This window comes from Homo sapiens, chromosome 3, assembly GCF_000001405.40.
Source record: "Homo sapiens chromosome 3, GRCh38.p14 Primary Assembly".
Classification (NCBI taxonomy): Eukaryota; Metazoa; Chordata; class Mammalia; order Primates; family Hominidae; genus Homo; species Homo sapiens.
In genome coordinates, this window is record NC_000003.12 from 25,954,823 (window position 1) to 25,979,526 (window position 24,704).

General features: G+C 38.9%; 1 long non-coding RNA gene across 2 annotated transcripts in view; it reads left to right on the forward strand.

The window, feature by feature from the left end:
* The window catches only part of LOC124909357 (uncharacterized), a 105,069-nt gene extending 81,045 nt beyond the window's left edge, over positions 1-24,024 (forward strand). For both annotated transcript variants that reach the window (XR_007095849.1, XR_007095848.1), the window contains exon 2: positions 23,856-24,024. This is a non-coding gene — a long non-coding RNA (uncharacterized LOC124909357). The remainder of the gene's footprint in view (positions 1-23,855) is intronic.
* Positions 24,025-24,704: the final 680 nt, after the last annotated feature.

Here is a 24,704-nt window from a genome sequence, read left to right on the forward strand (position 1 = left end):
GGACATAGGTTAAAAAGGGATAGGGTGTTGACCTCAGCCACATGGATACTGCCAAGGGAGTAGATAGAGTTTCAGATATCGGGTTTGAGTCCATGGGCTCCATGAAAGGCTAGTCTTGGGAGTATTTGGAAGAAATGATTATCCAAGAGAAAATCAGAGTGAAATTTTTTTACAGCACATAGTATGCTTCAATGTGCACGTAGGCTTGTGTGTGCTTCTAGAACTACTACATTGTACTTTGGAGAATAGACATGCATTGAAGTGACATTGGTAAAAATGAATGAGTAGAAAAAGGGAGTGAGAAATGAAGTGTGTTTTCTAGGAGTGTGAGTGAAGGGAATAGCAAATTATTAAAATAGCTTAAAAGTGAGTCTACTGGTAATCTTTAAATTATTATTTTATTATAAATATTTTTCTCAAAAGCATACATGCTCATAAATTAAGAATCTGTTAGTTATACAGTGTTAAGACAATCTTCTTAATGCTCACTACCCCCATTTCCATTTTCCTAGAAGCAACCACTTTCATCTCTTTTAGCTGAGACATAACATTTTAGTCAGACATCGCGTAATGACTGGAATACATTCTGAGAAATGCATCATAGTATAAACATTATAGCGTGTGCTTATACAAACTAGATAGCATAGGCTACTACTCACCTTGGCTACATGGTAGCCTGTTGCTCCTAGGCTTGAAATCTGTTCAACGTATTACTGTAGTTTGTGCTACGGACACTTGTAACACAATGGTAAGTATTGTGTGTCTAAACATATCAAAACATAGACAAGGTACAGTTAAAATATGGTATTACAATCTTGTGGGACCACAGTCATATATGTGGTATGTCATGGACCAAAAGGTAGTTATATGGTGTATGACTGTCTATAAATTTGTATGTCAGTGTGTGTGTGTGTGTGTGTGTGTGTGTGTGTGTGTGTGTGTGTGAGAGAGAGAGAGAGAGAGAGAGAGATTTACATTCATAGTAATATGTCATTTGCTTTTGTGGCTTCTATTTTGTTTTATTAATTTGGGCAGTATTTATAGCCTTCTTTCAGAAGATGAGGATTTAGTTCTGTTTTTCCCTCCCATTCCACAACACACACACATTTGAATTTAAATTAATCACTTACAAAAGCCTTTGAAAATAGGCCTCTTGATTATTTAAAATTCAAATATTAAACTATAATAAGCTATGTTTATTAAACATAGGATTTAATCTACCTGGTTGGGGGATATACAGTCCTCTTTGGGGGATATGACTGTGGAGTCATGTGGTTTTTATGGTGTGAGAAATTACTATTGGAAGGGTAACACGAGGGTTAACAATGTCAAGTTAGAGGCAAGAATTGGAAAGCTAATAGAAGTACCAGGGATAGGGAGAAGTGAGTATTTATTTGTCAAACACCTATAATGTGCCAAACACTGTGCTTAGTAATATTCTAATATATGCTTCTAATAAGCCTAGGGAAGGACTCCTTCATTAAGAAGAGACGGAGGTTGAACTCAAACCACATTCAGTAAAAAGGAATTCAATGGGAATTCTCAGAGATGGAGTGTGTTTCAACCATGACCAGATTGAAGGGCACAAGCAACAGTGCGACGGCTCTGGTTCTCTCTCTCTCTCTCAGCCTTGGCTGCATTGGCTTGGTTTCCTTGCAGGTGGGATCTCTCTCTATTTGCCAAGATGGCTGTTGGCCTGCCCATTCCTTCATTCTGTCATTTTAGCAAAACAGTCAGCAAGGAATTCCTCCTTCCAGAGTCGTTATTTTAAACCAGGAAAATCTCTGGTTGGCCCTGTTTGGGTTATCTGCCTACATCTCTTAGGGGGTGACCAGCCATCAAGGTAGATAGCTCCTCCATGGACAGAAGGAATGAAGGAGGGTCAATTTTCCAAATAAAGAAATACTTAAAGAAGAAAGAACATGCACCTGTTGCCAACTTCATGAAGCAAATATAATCATTTCTATTTTCCACATAATGAGATAAAGTTAAATCACTTGTTTTAGATCACATAACTCAATAGAACTGGGTTTAAGATGTTATTCACATTTTTTCCTCTGTATAAAACTGTGTACTGAACAATATTATGAAAGTTCATTTAGTGCTATACTTTTACTAATTTAATACAATGCTTAGAATACTTTATACCTGACCATGGAAATATTTCTTCAAAAGGGTTTTTCTATCTGAGGTTGTATTATTTAAACAAATTGGGATATAGTATTTACTTTAGAGAATTATAATTTTGTATAACTACAGCCATCTGTATGGGAAACCATTTATTTTTGAAGACAGAGACAGATGCATCAAGTCATGTAAGAGATGATGCTGGTACCCTGCTCACATCTGCTGAGCACTCAGCATTGTTGACTGCTGATCCCATGGTTTCCAATTGTAAATGCCTACTGCTTGTTGCTGAGAACTTTCTGTGGCTGCCAGAGAAGTGTCAGATGTTAAGAGTTCCTGGAAGTAGTGCTCAACAAATGATAGACAGGAGTTGGTGGATAAATCCCCCAGCTTCCTCATGTCCTGGAGGTGCATGCTCTACATTGCCTCTTAGAATCCAATCCCAATGGGATGGATCCACAGTTGCTCACAGCAGTCAAAAATGCACTTTATTGACATTTTTCTTTCCTGTCTTATGTACCTACTCCCCTTCTGATGCTTCCTGGGATTACTTCCCAAAATAAACTGCTTGCTCTCTCATCCTTGTCACAGGATGTGTTTCTGGGGCAAGTTACCTTAAGATAAGTGACGCTTGTACGTTAGACACGTGGCTAACTCTGGCTATTTCAGCCAACTTATACAAATATGTTTATTTTAATATGTTCATTAGTCATAGTGGTGAAAACCTGCAAATAGCTTCTATTATCTGTTTTCAGCTAAGAGTTAAATTTAGTCAAAATTAATAAAAAACATACACATTCTAATAGCAACTATTTTGTCTTAACATGAACTCTGAAGATGAACAGCTGGGTTTGAATCCTTTCTAGTTGTGGTTCTTGGACAAGGTTCTTATCCTCACTATGCCTCAGTTTTCTGTCTGAGGTACAGAGTATCCATCTTAATATTTTCTAAGAGCATTAAGTGAGTTAAAATTTGTGATATGTTCACAAGAGTGACTGGCAGAAAATAACTGCTATGTAAGTGTTGGTTAAATACTTGAATAAAAAATTAGGTCTATCAATGGTAAAAGTTAAGACTATACTTTCCCAAGTAGGCCACAGACTATTTCATTAACAAATTATTTTATTTTAATAATACATTCTCTTCCATATTAATTATACATTTTAAACCAGAGCACAATTATGTTTTAGCTTCATGAGCTGTTCATCTTTAATGAGTACTGAGTTAATTAGCCAGACCTGTCTTTTTGGGCACTGCATCTGTTCTGCAACATTCATCTCAGTATTCATTATTTTAAGACAGCAATTCTTTTTTTGAAAAATATTTGGAGAAGGAAGTGAATAATTACTCTCCTACACTACATCACTAAGTTTCAAAATGCAAATAATTGGAAAATATGCATGTGGGCATGGTTATACCTGAGACGTGACTCCATATTTCATTATACATAAGCAATACTTTCTTGCCTATTAAATTGATGCAGTTCATTATTTTTTCCTAAGAACTATTTTTAGTCTGCTTTTAGAATGCCTATTTGTGCCTTCCTTTTGTCCTCTGAATGTCAATCTAATTTCACTCTTGTGGAGCTGTAAATCATCCAAAGGTTTTCTTCTATTCTCAGAGGTGCCAATCCTCAGTATACAAATTAGGTCATCATTGGTTTAAAGAATTATAACTTCTCCAACAATGACCTCTCATCTTCTTTTCAGTTCTATATTTTTAGCTATCTATCAATAGCAGTGGTTCCAAGTAAGCGTCCATGGACTGGCTATATCAGAACTACCTAAGAAACCCATATATATATTCACATACTCTCAAACATGTATCATATAAATATCCACATACCAATATGCACCACTGCTAGAGATTCTGATATAGCAGTTGTGGGCTGAGACTTAGGAGACAGTATTTTTTGTATCTTGCTCAGGTAATTCTGTACCAAGAACAATCAGATTTGGGAACCCCTGGACAGTGGCTCATCCAATTGTCCACTGTCGCTTCAAATGATCCTATAGCATTGCCAAACAAGCTGATTTTCCTCATTCATTACAACTCTTCTGAAACTTTAGGCTTGACGTCTTACAATCATATTTAATTCCACCTGCTGCTTCATTCCCACTCGCAGACATTAAACAACCCAGTCGTCTCTTCTTTCTACCTTCTCTTCCTTTCCAGCACCTCATGTTATACCTTATATTAATTATTTAGGCATATGTTGTATTTGCTACATTTGATTATGAACACCTGGACACAAGAACCTGTCTTATTCATGTCTAGATGTGCCTCCTGGCATCCAGCATAGTACCTTTCATGGAGTAGGTATTTAACAAATGTTGGATGAATATCATATCACAGTCATTTGCTCTGTATCCAATCTTCCATTACTTCCAACATGGCCCTATTTTCCAATCATAGCCTACCCGTTCTTCCTTAGTCTCCTCTCTCACTTACTGTTTATCTCAGCTGGAACATGTTTTCTTTTTCTTTCCTTAAGAAATATTATATAATTCCTTTCCAGAATTAGTTTCCCAGGCTTATTATGGAGCAATATATTAAATATTAGACTATGAAGAAGCAGGATGAGACTCTCTACTCATTGATATTTCACAAGGGTATGAGGCTGATCATGGAGAACATGAGTATTTAGCAAGAGCCGCATGCCCTGTGATATCCTAGTCATGCAGGTCTCCCATTCTAGTTACGTGATAAATTTAGATCTTGAAATGATTGTGGCTTATTTCAATAGTTACTCAACCATTCATTTGACAGATATGTATTGAGTGACTTCTGTTCCAGGCACTGGGAATAGCAGTAAACAAAAACAGTGATCCTTGCTCTCATACGGTTTAATTTCTGGTAAGGGGTGATATAAAATAACCAAATACGTAAATATAGATTGTGTCAGATAAGTGCTGTGAAGGAAAATAAAACTGAGTAAGGAGAATAGGAAGTTGAATTCTATTACATTGAATGCCATGGAAGATCTCAACTGAGCAGAGGAATCAGGAGGCTATTACAGTAATCAGGCAGGAAATGGTGCTGGCTTAAATCAAGGGACAAATGTGGAGATGGTGAGAAGACATAAGATTTTGGGTGTATTCTGAGGGTATAGCTAACAGGATTTGATGATGGACACGATATAGGATGCTACAAAAGAGAGGAGTGAAAGATGACTCTAATGCCTGAGCAGCTGGAAGGATAAATTTGCCATTTACTGAGATGGGGAAATTTAGGAGAAATAGCTTGAGACGTGGGTAGGGAGGATTCAGCGGTTTGATTTTGTACACCTTCAAGTTTGTTGACTAGACAGTTAGGTATACCAGGAACCTGTAGTTTACAGGAGGGATTGGGCTAGAGAAAAAATGGAATTTAAAATGTGAAGCGGGATAAGGTCACTTAAATAAACAAAGGTCCAAGAACTGAGTCTTACAGTATTTCAACACTAAATAGGGAGCAGCCAGCAAAATATACTGTAAAGGAATGCCCGGTGAGGTAGTAAATAATCAAGAGAAAAGGGTGTCCTGGAGCCAAGGGAAGAAAGCATTTTGAGAAAGAAGTGATTATCTGTATCAAATGCTGCTGATGGGTCAACTCAGGTGATGACTGAGAGTTTACCATTGGATTACCAATGGGGAGGTCATTGGTAACCTGTAGGAGGGCTGTTATAGTTGAGTGGTAGAAGTCTGAATGGAGTGAGATCTGGAGATAATGTTAGGGAAGGCATTAGAGATGGAATCGATCATGCTTTGGAGGAATTTTGCTTTAAAGTGGAAGAGGTAAATGGAGTCACTGTTGAGGGTAATGGGAAGGTTTTTTTTTTTTTATTAGCGCTGTTTTAGTTTGTTTATGTACTGATAGACATGATCCAGTAGAGAGAAAAAAATGATGAAGGAGGGAAAATGATTAATTGCTAGTGGGGCATCCTTTAATAGGTGAGAGAGTTGCAGACAAATGCAGGGATGAGGCTTAGAAAAGAGCTACACTGTTCATCTTTGTAACAGAAGGGCTGGCAGAGGACAAGGGAACAATGGGGCAGATTGGAATGAGTCAGGAGAATGCTGGCAGGAAACTGATAGCATACTCAAATGGGGTAATTGAGGAGAGGTTAATAAAGTAATTACTTACAAGAGTAGGAAATTTGAAGAAACTAGCAAGAGCTGGAGAAGCACCTTATGTGAGCAATAGCAGGGAGCTGTCACCACTCTAGGCCTGGAGAGTCAAGTGAAAGGGCTGTTATTGGACCCCAGCATGAGCTCTAGCTGGAACTATGACTGTAGGAGAGGGCCGCAGGAGAGGACCTGGGGACTTCGGGAGAGGCAGTATAGCAATTACCAACTCACAGCTCAGAACAGACGGAGCCAGGGAAACAAAGCCCTGGATCTCACTCTCCTCCCACCCTGAGTTCTCTGACCCTCCCATTGGCTCAACTAATCAGTATCCAGAGGGCAAGAAACTGGTGCAGTCCATACAGCGCAGCCTCCCAGGGCACAGAACACAGTGGAGAAGGGCAGGGATGGATCTCAAGGGGAAAATCGAGAATGTCCAGCATAATTGTGACGGAAATGTGGGGAGGTTGTCTTCAAATTACTTCTATTTTCTCAGTGAAATAGAAAGTACTATTCTCAACTGAGAGTAAGGATTACGAATGTATTGGAAGTTTAAGGAGAGAGAAACTGTAAAATAGTAATTGGTAGAGGAGGAGAGCAAAAGGACTAGGGAAAGAGTATCATTACTGGGCCCATTTGAAAACTTTCTTAGGCTAGTGATTATGAATGTAAAGTAAGATAAATCAGCCTGAGTTTGAAATCTTCACGAACCATATTCATCTGTCTGGAGGAAAGCACAGTGTTTTAAAAGAGCTACATTTTGGTTGAGTTTGGCAGGAGAGTACAATAAAATGTGAAAGCACAAGAAGAAAGAGACTGTAATGACAGACCATGCACTATAAATTCATATACAGGGAAGTCTGGATACAGGGGAATTAGTAGATAAGGCTGTAAAAAACTGGGAGGACAAATAATTTTTGGAGTCAAGAGTAGTAAAGGAGTGAGCTGAAAGACAGGAGACAATGATCAGAGACTCAGACTATGGGAAGGGGATAAACTTATTGGCAATGGCAGGGTCTATATATAGGGTACAACAGAGAGTGAGTTGTTAAAGTTAAGGAGAAGATTACTGGAGGTGAAGTGGTCAGGAAAATGAATTGAAAGGATCAGACTCATGGACTTTGAAATTGCCCGAAATAATGACAATAATAGAGATGAACAACAATGGTCCAGAAGTTGGAATCCTCAAGGAATGTGGGGATGGTCTGGTAGTCTGTAGATGACTGCTATAAAGAGGAGTAGTGGGAAGCACAGATTGATGCGTGAACTTCAGAGTTGGAGGGGGTAGTTGGGAGAAGGGAGGGATCATGACTTGGAAAGAATACCGAGATGCAAGGAAGACTTCCATTCATCCGTCAGTCTCAGTGGCATGAGGAATGTGAGGAAAGAAACAGACACCACCTGGTGGAACTTCAGGGAAATCAACCTCTCAGGTGAGAGCCAGAGCTCACTGAGAGCAGGAAAACAAAGGAAGAAAAAAAAAAAAGATACTAAGCACTTACTGTGTGTCAGGAACTCTTCAACGATGTTCTATATATTCATTTAATCCTTAAAACAGTCTCTCCAAGGAAGGTATTATTTTAACTCCATGTGATAGATGGGGAAATTAGAGCATAAAGAGGTTAAGTACCTTGCTTATGATCCTGTGAGAAGTGAGGGGAAGAGCTGGGAATTCAACTCAGATGGTCCATCTTGAATCTCAATGTACGTAATAACCACTGTGTTTTAAAACCCAGCCACAGGCATTTGAAGAAGGGGCTTTCGTTGGTGCTTCACCATGAGTTCCAGAGAGTACAGTGGAAGGATTTGGGACTTGGAGAAAGGTGGATGGGTCAGAATAGGGATTGTACAGAGCCATACGGGATGTAGGATAAACTGAGATTTGGATGTTCATAATTTTGAAAGCATATGAAATTAATGCTGATGGTGTCTAGGAAAGGTAGGTATGGTGAGGCTGTGTTGGGGTAATGGTGCCGAGGACAGGAGAGTCCCTGTCAAGAGCACAAGCTCAATGTCTCCCTCATCGCTTGTGCTGGTGGAGGCTAAGGCTGGTGAGAGACAGTTTTACTTGGAGTATAAGGAGATTTGGGGCCTCCTCTTCACTCAACCCACTGCCTTTTTTTTTTTTTTTTTTTTTTTAACAATTACTGCTGACATCCAGGAAGTTTATTATTAATGAATAATTTAATATTAAAATATGTTAATTTTAAATGTAAATGAACATATTTATATGTGTGAAAACATGTTCATATGTGAAAATATTTAAATAATGAACAATTTAAAAATTATCCCAACTTTTCATTTGGCACATCGCTTTGAAATATAAATTTTCTCATCAATTTATTAAAGGGATCCTATTACCTTTACAAAATGAGAACTCTTACAAATCTCCTTACATCTATTTATGCTTTATAGTTTATAAAACATCTGTGCACACACTATTTTATTTATGCACTTTACCAAGTACCAGTGTTCAGCTCTGTTTCTGGAATATTTTTGGCATGAAAAGTTCACTTATGTAGAGGGTGGACAAATGAAATATTGAGTTTGATGAAGGGCAGGGAGTGAAAATGTGAGACGTGGAAATACTCAAAATTTTCATTAAACATTTTTTCTCCTTAGTTTTTAAAAATGAAAACATTTTTATCATATTCTTCAAAGGGTAGAACAGAGAAAAATTAGCATAAAACTCTTGGCAGAAACTTTTCAATGAGCATTTATTACAGGAATCGACTGCATTTTAAGTGGAATGACTTAGACACTCAGCTTTGCACTTGGAAAAGCATATGGTAATAATAAGAGAAAGCATTTGAAGTGTCCAATCTGGTCAAACTGCATTTTCACTCTTATTGATGAATCGGCAAGAGAATAGTTTTATACATCAAAGTTATTTATTAAATTTTGAGCCATTTGTGCAATAGGTATTTGCTGTTAATAGAAACCATCAGCATGTTGGAGATGACTTTCAGAGTGATTTTTCTTTTGTTAAAAAGAACAGCAGGACAAAAAGAAACTAGCTAGAGAAAAAGGTAATGGTTTTTTTCTTGCATAAATAAATCACTTGCTTCTTACCCACTCACAGTGGTTTCTTCCAAGTGAAGAAATTCTACTGATGTGAGATTTCATACGTCTTTCTGCTTTTTTCTTTCTTTTTAACTCACTAGTGATTTGCTTGAGTGGTAAAATTGGAAGTAATAACTGGCATGCCTAGTTCAGCTCTGTGCTTCTTGCTTAACATGGTCTAGTACCACATGGTCTGGATACATGACCACACTTAATTCTGGGATGCAGATAGCAGGGATTTTTGGCTTTCATGCTAAGTTATATACTGTAAGCCTTAAAAAGAAAAGATAATATTTTGGTTCCCTCTGCCACTTCGTTGCTTTATTCCTAAAATTGTTCAAAAGCTGAGACATAATAGTGTTATGGTGATTAAATTATATAATAAACTGGAAGCTTTCTCAGGCCTTCAGAACTGGTTTAGATGCTTCTCTTATGTGCCTGCAAAACTCCTTGTACTCCTCCCTTTCCTGGTGCACTTTATAACTCTTAAAACACTTTATTATTGGTTTAATGCCTCTTTCTTTGCTACAATATAAAGTCTGTGGTAATGACCAAGTCTGTCTTGTTCATCTTGGTATTGCTAGAACCTGACATGGTGTCTGACAAATAGTAGACATCCAATTTGTGGAATAAATAAATGGATAAATCAATGAGTGAGCCACTGCTTGAGAAAAGATGAAGTTCCTAATTTAGGTAGTAAATGAGAAAAACAGAAAAAATTTTAAACTCTTCACTCAAAAAATGAAAATAGTAACAATAGTAGATGCTATCGTTTTATACTTTAGTTTTCAGTATATTTAATTATAACCATTAAAATATATATCTTCTTCAATGAGTCATGGTTGAACAGCTCTAGAAAACTATGGTTAACCTGGAAAACATCATGCTTTTTATAAGGATCTGCATTTCACTGATGTCTACCCATCATCCTAGTGTCTTATCAGCTCAGCCTCCAGGCAGTGATCATTTCTATCCTCTAGCATTTCATTCATGAAAATACAGATATGAAAGCCTATAGTTTATAAAACGCTTGATGCAACTGATTGCTTGCTAACAATAACATTAAAGCCTATTTTAACAAGGCTTTTAAGGATGAATAGATACAGCTGTTTTAGAAAAGTTTTAGAAAGGTTTAGCTGTTTCTACGTGAAGAGAACTGGGGGATAATGAAAAAGTAAGTAATAGTGGTTATTATTTTGAAAGAAAATAATAGAATCTATTTTTACTTGGATTGATACTCTGAAATAAACATTGAAATGAACACTGAAATAAACTCTGAAGTGAACATTAGATTGAGACTGCAATAAAGCTTGCAGGATTGTAATCCTCATTCTAGGACCATTTCTACATAAACCTTATAAAGCAAGAGTAGAAAAAAGGCCTATCTTGATTTGCAGTTAACTATTTCTTTCAATAAGTGAAATGCTATGCGGTTCAGGTTATCTATTGTATAATAATAAATTCTCAAAGATCTGGAGGTGCAAGTGTTTAGATAGGTGATTCTTGCTTAAGGTCTTTCATGTTGTTGCAGCCAAATGGTGGCTAAGGTAAGAGTCCCAAGTTCGGTGCCTGGGCTGGGATGGCTGAAATAGCTGGTTAGCTGTCTTTTTCTCTCCTTGTGGACTATCCATGTGGCCAGTAGAAGCTTTCTCACTGCATGGCGGTCTCAGGCATCTGGAACACTTTCATATGGCATCTGCCAGAGAGTGTTCCAACAGAAAGGAGGTGGAAACTGCCAGTCTCTAATGGCCTGGACCCAGGCACTAGAACAATGCCACTTCTGCCATATTCTCTTGGTGGAGTAGTCATAGAGCTCTCCCATTTTCAAGGGGAGAGAACATAGGCCTGACATCTTGATGGAAAGAATGTCACAAAATGTGTGGCTTTCCTTCATTTGCAACACATGCTAATGCCTCCTGATATTTCTTGGCTCTGCGTCCCCATCCAAATGTCATCTGGAATTGTAATCCCTGCATGTTGAAGGAGGGAACTGGTGGGAGGTGATTGGATCATGGGGGTGGTTTTCTCTATACTGTTCTCGTGATAGTGAGGAGTTCTCACCATATCTGATGGTTTTAAAAGTGGCATTTTTTTTTCTTGCACTCTCACTTCCCTCCTGCCACTCTGTGAAGAAGGTGCCTACTTTCCCTTTGCCTTCTCCATGATTGTAAGCTTCCTGAGCCCTCCCAAGCCATGCGGAACTGAATCAATTAAACCTCTTTTCTTTATAAATTACTCAGGTATTTCTTCATAGCAGTATGAGAATGAACCAGTATACCTCCTCAGCTGAAAGTTGTTCTCACTAGCATCACTGGGTTGTAGTAGAGTAAATGGAAGGTGCTAGCATAAAATTCTTTCTTAAAAAATTTGAACTCAAGATATCAAGGAACACTAAATTTGAAATATTTGCCTATATTATATGTACACTGTTCATTGATTCTTGTAGATCATTTAAAATTGTAACTTCAAAAGGTAAGAAAAAAATCAAAGGTGGAATAGATGAGATCTAATTTTCTTTCTATCAGTTTATGAAATTAATATGTATCTTAAGGCTATTTACAGTTGGCAGAGTGATTGCAGCTAATGTTTTAGATGATTTATTTTCCCCATTAGGTCTTACTATTATGCACAAGCAAACCGTTTTGGTACCCTCAATGTTTTTCTTTTTTTTTTTTTTTGTCTCTAGAGGAAGTAAACTTACATATAAAATTCATTCCTCTCTCAATTACAGATGTTTAGACAATTAAGGAGGGATTTGCAAAGCTCAGAGCAAAATTAATTTTGACCTTGGGAGAAAATGTTGAAATGAACTTGTTCTTTTTTTATCTTCCCATTTAAAACCCAAGAAACCAATATTTAGTGTACGTTTTCCCCTATCGGCATAACCTGGATTCCATAGCTGTGCAAAATCTCAACTTTTCTGGGTGACATAATTGTCAGTGATATGATGCCATTGTGTATATTTTATTTAAAACAATATTACTCTATTTTTTATTTTTAATTTTTTTTTCGAGACAGAGTTTTGCTCTGTCACCCAGGCTGGAGTGCAGTGGCGAAATATGGGCTCACTGCAGCATCCACCTTCCAGGTTCAAGCAATTCTCCTGCCTCAGCCTCCTGAGTAACTGGGACTACAGGCACATGCCACCACACCAGGCTAATTTTTGTATTTTTTAGTAGAGACAGGGTTTCACCATGTTGCCCAGGCTGGTCTCGACCTCCTGGCCTCAAGAATCCACCTGCCTCGCCCTCTCAAAGTGCTGGAACTACAGGCCTGAGCCACAGCACCCGGCCAGAAACATTACTTTCATAATAGCTAATATTTGCGGAGCACAAACTGTGTGCCAGGTTCAAGGCTAAGTGTTTATCTTTGTATTATCTCAAATATTTCTTTCAACAGCTCTACAAGGTAAGTACTCATATTATGCCCATTTTCCATGTGAGGAAATGGAGGTGCTCAGAGGTTACGTCACTTGCCCAAGTTTACGTAACTAGTAGTTGCTGGTCTGGAAAGTCATACCTAAGCATGTCTAATTCTGGAGACTCAGTTCTTAATCACCTTATTATACACACTCCAAGCACACGTTCAGTGACCCCAAGATCAGTGGATCACACACATTTTTAACTGTGGCTCTTATAGGCTGAGGATGAATTATAATGGTACAATTATTAGACTTACTTTCCAGTTGAAAAAGGCCTTATAATAAAGAGCTGAAGAGAAACAAAAATTGAAAAATGGTTATTTATTTGATCACCTTATAAACTGAAATGTAGCTTAGTAATTTTAGCACATTAACCTTGATAATGTGTTAAATAACACACATTCATAGCATAGCACTAGTAAAATATGTACTGTCACAGAAACAAAATGGTGAGCCAACTATATTCTTTCTAAAAGGGACTAGTATTTTGGAAGCCAAAAATAAGAAAATATTCTGAGGAAGAGGGGAGTCTGTGTCAAATGCTTCTGATAGATTGAGTATGGTGAGGACTGAGAATTGACCATTGGATTTAGCAACTTAGGAAAACTCAAGTACTGCATATACTCATGTTTAGTAGGAGATTTGTAATGTTGCACAGTAGATAGCTAGTTTATTAGACTACTGCATAAGAATCCTCAGTAAATTTGAGTAAAGTACTAATTTTAGTTACAAATGCCAAATTTTGATAACGCTCCATGGCTCAGGTAGAGTCAGGTTAGCACAGAGTTCTGTAGCCAGAATGCCTGCACTGGTTGCATTTGTTACTGATTAGGTGATCTTGGGCAATATATTGTACCTCTGTGTTCCTCTGATTTGCCATCTGTAAATAGGGATGACAAAGTACTTATCCCTGGGTTTGGTGTGAAGAATAAATGAGTTAATGCATGCAAAGTACTTATTAGAGTGCCTAGCAATAATAAGCAATACATGCTGGCTATTATTTCTATTATTAACATATTGCTAAAATATGATAAAAAATAAGTCTGTGGAATTGTGTATCACTCACTTCTAGGAACCAAAGAACTTGCAGTTGTAAATCATTTGGTGGTCTCTCAGGGGAACACTTGTAGCTCACTGATGGGGTGTAGAGCACACTCTGAGGCTCTTTGGTTCAAGTGAATAAATTGGGGGTTTTATAAGAGTTGACTCTTGTTTGGGGTTTGAAATGGAAAGAGAAGGAACTGAAATTGTTTTCTTAAAAATTGACCATTTTTTCTCTTTTCCTCTTTCCACTGGCTTTCCACTGTTATTTTTGGACTCTTGGGAGAGAATGGTCAAAAGCAGAAACTAGAGAAAGGTAAAAGCCAATGAATAAGAAGGAAAAAGTAGGAAGGAAATGCAGAGGGAACATATTGAAGATATTCACCTCTGTTTGTGAACAAGAAGAATAAAAAATATCACGTTTGGTTTGACTCTTTCATTGGCAAAGAGTAAAAGGGTACAGGGTAGTGGTAGTAATTGAATAAAAATATTTTTATCTTTTTTTTCATATGTTTGTTGGCCTCATAAATATCTTCTTTTGAAAAGCGTCTGTTCATATCTTTATAAATTTAGGTGTGGGCATGCGTAGATGTTTGAGGTCAGAGAATTTCCCATTGAGTGGAAATAACATGTAACTCATGCAAACATCTATGACCTCCAATTTTGGGGTATATATTTGTTTTTCCTCCCAATCTCCATCCAGAGATGGTGTGCCCAATTAAGGCCTGAAGTCGTAATAACATACAGCTTCCAGTATTCATAAAATCAGTCTTTTATCTTTGAAGGCGGAAATGGGGAAACTATTAGCAGAAAATTCATCTTTTCCACCTTTTCTTCTCTCAGCTGACATAATGGCTTATACAGCCAATAAATGTTCAATGGATAGATTAATATGAAAAAATAAATGGCAAGCATATTAGATATGAAATGATTTGGCAGCAACTCATTCATTGCCACGATTTGATTAAGCTAATGTAGCTTGTTAAGATTTTGTATGTGTGTAAGGTGGCTATGCATATTCTAGACTACAAAATCAATGTCTGCAGAAAGTGTAGCTTTCTAAATGTTTCCATAACTCAATATAATATCTTTTTTTTTGGAATATCTATTCTGGTGATGGCAGAAAAATAACAATCTTAATAAATTTTGTAAACACTAATGTATAAGATACTCTCCTGCCCCAAATCACATCACCTTTATCTCACTTCTTATTTAAACCTTAGCTGTGTACATAATTCCATAAGGACGTTGATTTACTTCCAACTGTCATCAGTGAGATGTCTATGTGCTAAGTCTTTACTTTTTTGCCCAGGGGTCCCTCTAAATTCACAAACATTGGCTGGTACTCACTTGGCCTATATTGCACAGATAGCTTAGAAGTACAGAAGGATTAACATCTCTGATAATATGATGGTTAGTTTTATATGTCAACTTGACTGGGCTGTGGGTGCCCAGATATTTCATCAAATGTTATTCCAAGTGTTTCTGAGAGGGTACTTGGGGATGAGATTAACATTTAAATTAGTAGGAGGCAAGCAGATTGCCTTTCTAATGTGGGCAGGCCTTATTTAATTAGTTGAAGGTTTAAATAGAACAAAAAGCCTAACCCTCCTCTGAGAATCCAGAAAGAAGAGATAATTCTTCCTGCCTAATGTCCTTTGAACTGGTAGATTGAATTTTTCTGTGTTTGGTTGTTAATTAACACATCAGCTCTTCCTGGGTCTTGAGCATGCTGGCCTTCAGACTGGAACTACCGCATGATTCTTCTCATTCTCAGGCCTCTGGGCTTGGACTGGAGCCACACTATGGGCTCTCCTGTGTTTTCAGCTTGCTAGCTCACCTTGAAGATCTTGGGACTCACCACCCTCCATAGTCATGTGAGCCAATTCCCTATAGTAAATCTCTCTCTATATATATACACCCTCATCCCATAACATGGGATGGGGAAGGGGAATCAATGGTTAAATGCCTCAGCTTCCCATCCTTGGGACAAACAGAGGTGGACAATTCTCTGACTTTCAGGAAGTCCCAGTGGAATTGAGCTTCTGTTACCCACAATGGCTACTTCAACAACACTCCCTTACATTGGCTTTGCCTCCTTCTCTGACTCACTCCCCTAGTCCCTCATTCCTGTTCTCTGGAATCACCTCTTAAGTAAATCACCTTCCCATAAATCCTTGTTTCAAGCTCTCCTTTTGAAAAACCAAAACTAAGACACATAATAATCTTAGATGTAACCTTGGTCAATTTGGACATTTCCCTTCACCTCTCCTCTCTGAATGCTGTGGACTGAATTGTGGCTCTTCTAAATTCATATGTTGAAGCCGTAACCCTCAATGTGGCTGTATTTGGAGATAGAGCTTATGAAGAGTATACAAAAGACACCAGATTTCTCCCTCTCTCTTTCTTTCTACTTTCCCTCTTCATTTTCCTTTTCTCTCCCTCTGTCTCTTTCCCTACCATGTGAGGACAGGGTGAGAAGGTGGCCATCTGCAAGCACCCCCTCCAACCATTCAAAAAAAAAAAGGAGCCTATACCAGACACCAAATCAGCTGGCTCCTTGATTGTGGACTTGTAGCCTCCAGAACTGAGAAAATAAATTTCTGTTGCTTAAGCCACCCAGTCTGTGTGTGTGTGTGTGTGTGTGTGTGTGTGTGTGTGTGTGTGTGTGTGTGTTGTTATGGCAGCTCAAGCAGATGAATACACTGAAGAAGCATTTATGATTTTATGGGCTTCAAAGTATGTGACTCTAGATGGGGAATCTGTAACTTGTCTGGCATCTGGTTTTTTGCTGGCATCCACTGCAATGGTCTCAGCTGCTTTGTTCTCAGCCATCACTACCCTCCACTTGCACTTCTGCTGAAATATTCACATTTCCAGTGACCTTGGCTGTCAGTTTTTGAACTGTTTACTTCTCCTCATGATGCTGTGCCTTCTCTTATCCACTTTTCTATCCTTTGTGTATTTTTATGTGCTTCCTGAAATCACCTTCTAACATCATTTTTACTCTACTTTTGTTACTGTTCCAAGCTAGTGAGAGGTGGGGAGACTCAAGGTCTTTGTTTGTGTTCAAGAACCCTTTGAGGGACTTGAACACAGATTCTTTCTTCCCTTGGGCCCTAAGACATGTGGGGGATTAATCATTCCTCTTCACGTTGGACTTGGCCAGTGGGGGACAAGGGAAGGGGCCCCTTCTCAAAGAGCCACACGAGTATCTCATGCCCTTACTTCTCCTCTGCCTCTGCCTTTTACTGCCTTCCCTTAACTCTCAAGCATATTACAGCAGGCATGGTTGATGCCCTGCCCTATATTGGCTCATTCTCTTGCCCACCTGAGCTGCATCTGTAGCCAATTTCTGGCACTCTGCCAGTTTTCCACCTACCATGCCAGCACCTATGTCATTATCTTCCTCTGCTTGAGGACTTTTTTGGTATTATGAAAGAGCTTGCTCAGCTGTGCAGGTACACCTCGAATTACATGGTATTGACATCCCTGTGGGTGCTGTTTGCCAGTGGGTGATGGGATTTGAGGGATAAATGCCCCAGCCTCCTTGTCCCCAATAGAAGGATTTTGAGGTTGCTTCACACTATTGCTCAGAGAATTCCCTATAAGATTTAGCCCCAGTTGCCCACATGGTAACTAGTTATTTAACATGCCATTTATTGGATTTCCTCCTTCCCTATCTCACTTCCCACTTGTGTTTCTTGGAGTCACTTCATAAATAAACTACCTACACCCAAATCATTGTTTCAGAGAGAACAAAAATATCTTCCATGTGGGGTAAAATTCTTTTTGATTGTATTCTTTAATGCCTTGCTATGATATCTGACCTATAAACTTAAATGCCAAGTATTTTCTACAAATGGAACCAAAAGGTCAAAGGCTGCAGGTTAAAGGAAGTGAAGAAAATAAAAAATTCCTCTTATCATATTTATAGTAGTCCCGTCTTATCCATAGTTTAACTTTCTAAGATTTTAATTACCTGTGAACAACCATGGTCTGAAAATATTAAATGAAAATTTTCATAAACAATTGATGAGTTTTAAATTGGACATCATTCTGAGTAGCATGATGGAACCTCACGCTGTCCCACTTTGTCCCGCCTTGGACGAGAATCATCCCTTTGTCCAGGGTAACCATGCTGTATATACTACCTGCCCGCTAGTCACTTAGTAGCTGAGTTCTTTATCAGATTGATGGATCATAAGAAGAAGGGTGAGCACAGGCCAATAAAACATCTTGAGACAGAGAGAGAGAATGGAGACATTCACATGACTTTTATTACAGTACATTGCCATAATTATTCTACTTTAGGTTGTCAATCTCTTACTGTGCCTAATTTATAAGTTAAACTTTATCATAGACTTATATGTATAGGAAAAAACTGTATATATAGTGTTCTGCACTATCTGTGGTTTCAGGCATTCACTGGGGGTCTTAGAACATATCCCCTGTGGATAAGGGGGGACTATTGTATCTGTCAACCAGGGCAGTCTTCCAGATAAAGAAAAGCTATTCTTGGTTAAGGGGGTCTGTGTAGTCATGCCCCACCTGGTACTGCTACTTTGGCATAGCAACCAAACACACTGGGAATTTTTAGCCCATCTGTCATCCTTTGCCATGAGGAGCTATTCTCTGGTTATATCTGCCTTTGCAAATAGGCCAACAGCAGGTATCCCTGAGGTATACAGAGACCTCTCCCTAGGTAGCTGCTACTGAATGCAGATGTGGGCATTTGAGCAGCCAACAAGCTACTGTAAACAGGTGTCAGACTTAACCATTCAAGGAAGATTGATTTTATTGTTGGCTGGGTTTATGACTGGGGAATATGCTTCACTGACCTGCTTTTGATTAAGTCAGAGACATGCTAAGGATGTTTGCTTGTCAAATGGTTTGAGGTTTGTGATAAACAATGAACGTTAGGCAAAGAAATCAGCACTTTCTGTGAACAGCCTACATCTTTGAGGCATTAACATGTATCAAGGTCATTCACACTACCTTGAATAACTGTTTCAGTGAAAAAAAAAACAATATCAATTGCGATGAAACGGTGGCATATAACCTAGAGATACAGGTCATTCCTTTAAAAAATAGCTTGCTTTTATCATGTAGAACAGATGAGTAAAGAAGGTTTTGGGGGGTGTTTTTGGTTGGGTTCTCTCAGAAACAAACCTGAGAAAAGGATTTGAATACACATAGTTTATTTAGGAAGCACAGGCAGGGAGTGGGGAAGTGAGGCCGGGAAAGGAAGGAATCCAATAAGTGGTAAGATATTGAGCACGCTATCACCCTGGGAAATAGGGTATTCTGGGACATGATCTAGACCATGCCTTAGAGTCATCTGCTCGCCAGCCCCAACCCTAAGAGGTGGAGATGCTGGGGTATTTATTATCCAACTCTTCTGTGTCATTGACTGAAGCTTGCTTGCTGAGGAATTGTGGAGGACATATGAGATGCCACCCAGGTTCCCCTTTAAGGAAGGACCTGTTGCCCAGCTAGTGGGGTTGCTGTAAGAGGACAACTTTCAAATGTCAGTCCACTCAGTAATTGCCCCAGCTGAAGAGAACCTCCTTGTCAAGATCATGCCCTCACTGGTAGCTCACATTCCATAGATGGATTAAAGTGGGTGTATAATGGCCTGGGCATTTCAGACCAACTGAGACAATTCTTAACTCGAGAGCTCCCCATAGGGTTGGCCAAGACTGTCATGGGGCCTGGAACACAACATGATTTTTCTCGCTGCCCTATCCTGTTTCCTTCCATTCTCTTTCATGGGTGTCAATACCAAGGGAACTCTTTCACAAACACCCTGCACACTGAACTGTATCTGAAAGTCTGCTCCCTGGAGAACCCAATCTGTGTTAATCAGGCATTAATTCCCTGATTTCTGGACTTGTGTTCATGCAGAATCGCAGCATTTTCAGTAGAAGATTTGGATATAGGCCAAGACGGTGAGTGCTGAGGGCAGGGCATGCAGGGTCTGCTACAGTAGTGTTGGGATGGTTGTTATTTCTTTGGATTGATCAAGAGAAGTGAGATCAAATGAGGGCAATGAGAAGCAAGGGGTGGAATGAACAGTGGGACAACTGGGAAGGGGGATTGCTGAGGTGTGGTTTGGTATCCAATATGATGGTAGTGGATTCAGAGCCCCAAGACATGAGTGCGAGGGCAGGTGGGCTAGCAGATGGATGTGGGGAGGGTGTGATCTGAAATTAAAATCAAAGATAACCCAGAACAGCCGAAAGCAAGGCAATAAGACCAGTGGGCATTTTGCGAATTAGCTGCTATTATTATTTTTCTCTCTCACTATTAAATCACTTGGCAAATCCTGCTAATTCTGTGTTCCAGTGTCCTGAAACTTGTTTAGTTCTCTCTGTCCCTATGGCTTCCCGTCTAATTTGAGCCTCTTTTATTTCATTTTTTCAACTGGATCCTCATAATGGTTTTCAGGTGGGCTTCTTTCTGGTCATGTCCTTCTCACATTTTCTCTCAGCAATGCAACCGAAATGACCATGTTGCTTAAGTGAATATTTGATGATTACAGTCCTGCTAGCTTATGAGCTTCAGTGGCTCCCTATTGTTTCTGGAATAAGGTCCAGACTTTTCAATGTGGCTCCCAAGGCCTTACTCAGTCTGGTCCTTTTCTGCCCTTCCACATCTTCTTCCTCCTCTTCAGACATAACTGCATTGGTTTCTGTTCCATCATTTCTCCAGCATCACACCTTTGTACACACTGTTTCTCCTTCAAAATATTTCTTATGTCCATCTCTCATGTTCCATATTCCTGTGTGCAGCCCACAGCAGGGACCTGCTGCCTCACACCTGGAATAATCATCGAGTTTTAAAATTCAGGAGCATCTGCGAGTTGCTCTGTTCTGACTGTTTCATTTTATTAACAGAGACACCAAGACCCAGAAGAGTAAAATGACATCTCAGGTCACAGCATTAGTGACACAGCTGTGAATGCGACTCTTGTCCTTGACTTCAAGGCATGATTCTTTCCACCTCCTCACCTCCAGGCTGCCCTTACTGATATTGTTCTCTTCCATCTCATCTTTGTTTCACGCTGAGTCCAGTTACCTCTTTTTTTAAGCACCATTTTGATGAGGTTACTCCTCTGCTCAGAAAGTCACTATGGCTCCTCCTGCCTCTAATATCAACTCTAGAATACGACTGGTTTTCAAGAGGCTGCGTAGTCTGCCTCTATCTTCTCCATTCATTTCCGAGAAGTTACCATCTATGGAAGTCAGACAAATCATTTCTATTATTTTGTTAAATCTAAGATGTCATCAATTATAAAATGGACTGTTATTCTATCATCTAAGGTAGAGAAAATAATGCCAATTAAGTTCAAATATACCATTGCTTAAAATACTGACTCCAATTTCAGAGACATAAAATGTGAAAATATGTGAATCTCAGTATTAATGCAATATTTTCTATCTTAAAAACTATTAGTTGGCTCAAATTTCACCTGCTACATAAAACTCGCCATGACTAACTGTGGCCATATTTTCTGAATTCCTGTGGAACCTGTTATCAGCCCATTACCCATTTCCCAACTGCCAATTTTCTTCTTTCTCCTTCCTCCATTTCACAAGTGATCATTGAGTGCCTTCTGTGTGCCTGGCACTGGGCATATGATGATGAAGAGCATCACATTCCTGCCCTTATGGTCTTTTTATGAGGAAGTAAGGAAATGTGTAAGTAAGTAATCACAAACCAAAAAAGCTATGAAGGAAATAATACTGACCCTAGACAATAAAGAAAAGGTGGCAGAGAGAAATCTATTCAGGTGAATATCTTACACCTAAACCTCCCCCTGTCTTCACATATCCACCTTTGTTTTTAAAACCCAGCACACATCTTTATCTTCCATCAAATATTTAACTCATTTTCTCCCATGTACTTTTCTACTTTACAGCCTCAAAAAATCACTCTCTCCTCTAGCCTTGTGTCTTTTCTTCAGAGAGAGCATAGCGTGGTGTTGATAGCATAAACTTTTACAGCCAGTCTCCCTGGGTTCAAATCTCAGCTCCGTCATTTATTGGCGATGTGACCTTGGGTGAATTACTTAATTTCTCTATGCCCTAATTTCCCCACCTTTAAAATAAAGATAACACTATCAACACCCTTGTGGCATTGCTGTAGGGATTAAAGGAAGAATCATGGAAAGTGTTTAGAATAATGCTGGGCATGTAGAAAGCATTAGAAGGATGAGTATGTCTAACCCAATCATACTTGATTTTGTCCATGTTCTATCTTCTCTTTTAGACTCTAAGGTAGGCATGGTTAAGAACAAGAAATTTGGGGTCTGAGTAGGAGGAGATGAGATCCTGGTTGGACAGCTTTTCCAGACACATGAGCTTGGCTACATAGCCTTTTTGCATCTGTTTCTCTGCCATGTAAATAATAGTTGTAGTGCCTACATTTTGGGGTTATTTAGAAGAGTAAATAAAATACGTATGCAAAATGCCTGCTACATGATCAGCTCTCACTGGAGCTTGCTATCATTCTTACCTCAAGACAGGAAGGGCAGAGTCCATCTTATTATCTGTGTGTCCTCCTATACCCTCAGAACTCACTATCCATGATGTCAGTGATATTAGTGAAATGTTTCACAACAACTTGTATGAAAGAGCCAGTGAGTAAGCAAACGTGTTTCCACCAGAGACCTCATCATGGAGACCGGTATCATATTTGTCCTCTCACTTTGGCTTCTTTCTTTTCTGGGGACACATGATGAAGTGTTTGGGGTTTCTCTGGAGAGGGGCAATAATCCCCTCTCCTCCTTCCAGGTATAGCACATCCTTCACTGTGCTGAGGTCCCTCACCTTACACAGGTTTACCAGGCCATGCTGTCATCTCTTCCTAGTCTGTTCTTGAAATCAGTGTGGCTTTTGTTAGGGGCCCCAAGCCACTGGCAATTTTTCCCCCACATAAAATGTAATTTGAAATTTCCACTGGAGAACACAGTTATCAAGACCAGCAAAATATCTGCTTTCTAGCATTGATTTTCAAAGTTGAACTTCTTCATCTGAAGACTGCATGAAGCCTGTGGGATCCCATATTTCATGATGATAAGACTTGGAATTCTTACTGTCAGTGAAGTCTGTGCCTGCATCTCTGATGATGTACAAACTTGTATCATTTGATTCACAACGTACAACTTTTGATTCACAGGCCCCTTCAGCTCTTTTGTGTCACCGTTGTCATGAAACTTTGTGACTCCCCGTTAAAACTGACAGACATTTGGCTTTCTTGGTTTTGTTAAGTACGAATTTATTTTGGGCAATTTTCAAGGTGAATTAACTGAAAGCCATATTCGTGTGGCTCTGGAAAAACATTTTTATTCTCACCTAACCCATAATGTATCATTTAGAATAAAGTGCTCCATTAAACTAGATCTCAGTAACAGACATGTGTCACAAGTTATTCCATCTTGCAGCACTCCTAAGAAATCAGTGTAAAATCAAACTGATGCTAAAATAAAAATGGGTTGGTTTTGAAAGTAAGTAAAATGCAAGTGTGTGTTCTACTGTTTCTTATATTACTATGTTATTTTCTTCCTCTAGTCATTCTCTTGAATAACATTGAATAGTGGAAAGAGGAAATATTACACGAAATACTTGACTGCTCCTCTCCCATTTCTGTTCTCCTCCCCTTCCACATGATTTAATCAACCCCCCAAACTTTGTCACTATCTCCTAAATGTCTCTGAAGCTGGTCTGTTTTTCTTCATCTTCACATGTTCTATCTCAGCTCACGCCACCATCTTCCCACCTGGTTATCGTAATAGGAAGCTTGCTAGTATTTTGACTGTTAGGCTAGCTCAGTTTTTTGTACGTTAGATTGACTGCATTCATGGCCCCAGTTCTTCACCCCTCCCTGTATACATATATTTGCCATGAGACTTTGCAATTCTCCTCACTAAAAAGGGGAATCAACCTATTTTTCCTCTTCTTAATCTGGGCTGGTTTTATGACTTGCTTTAGACAACAGAATGTGGCAGAAGTGAGGGAATATTGCTTCCTAGCCTAGGCCTCCAAGGGCCTTGTGGTTTACCTTGTTCTCTTGTACCTCTGCCATCTCCACAGGTGCAAGGCTAGTCTAGCCTGCTGGACAATGAGAGGCCTACGGAACAGGGCGGAGTCACCATATCCCACTGAAACTGGCCTAGGTTAGCCAACAGCCCACCTCTCCCAGGCACGTGAAAGCTCAGCGGACTCTGAACAGATGGACAATAAACATTTACTGTGTTTGCCACATAAGTTTTGTATTTGTCATTATAAAGCATTATTGTGACAATAGAGAAACTAACATACTTTCTAAAGTGGAATTTGATCATGTTGCTTAAAAAACTGTGACCGTCCATACTAACTGCTCACCAAATAGCCATTATGCCTTTTCTTTTTTCTCCTTATAACAGAACTTGATTTTGATGGGGACAAATTTTATTAGTGTCAGACTCCCTTCCCACTAATGTTGGCTCTGTGACAGATTTCTGGCCAATGACATATAGGCAGAAATCACTGGAGAGGAACTTCTTTTTAAATAAAAACATGAAGCTTCACTAGAAAGATCCAAGAAAGAAAAAAGTGATAAATCCAACTTCATAAAAATTTAAAACTTTTGTGCTTTAAAAGACATCATTAAAAAATGAAAAAACAAGCCACAGGCTGGGAGGAAATATTTTTGAATTACTATCTGATAAAGGCCTTATATTCAGAACAATAAGTAACTTGTACAACTCAATAATAAGATAAATAACACAATTAAGAAAATCTGAATAGACACTTCAACAATCAAAATTCTCAAATTGCTAATAAACACATAACAAGATGCCTCACATCATTAGAAATGTACAAATCAAAACCACCAATAAGAGATCACTTTGTAGCCACTAGAACGGCTATCAGTAATGTAGAGATATTGAAACCTTCATA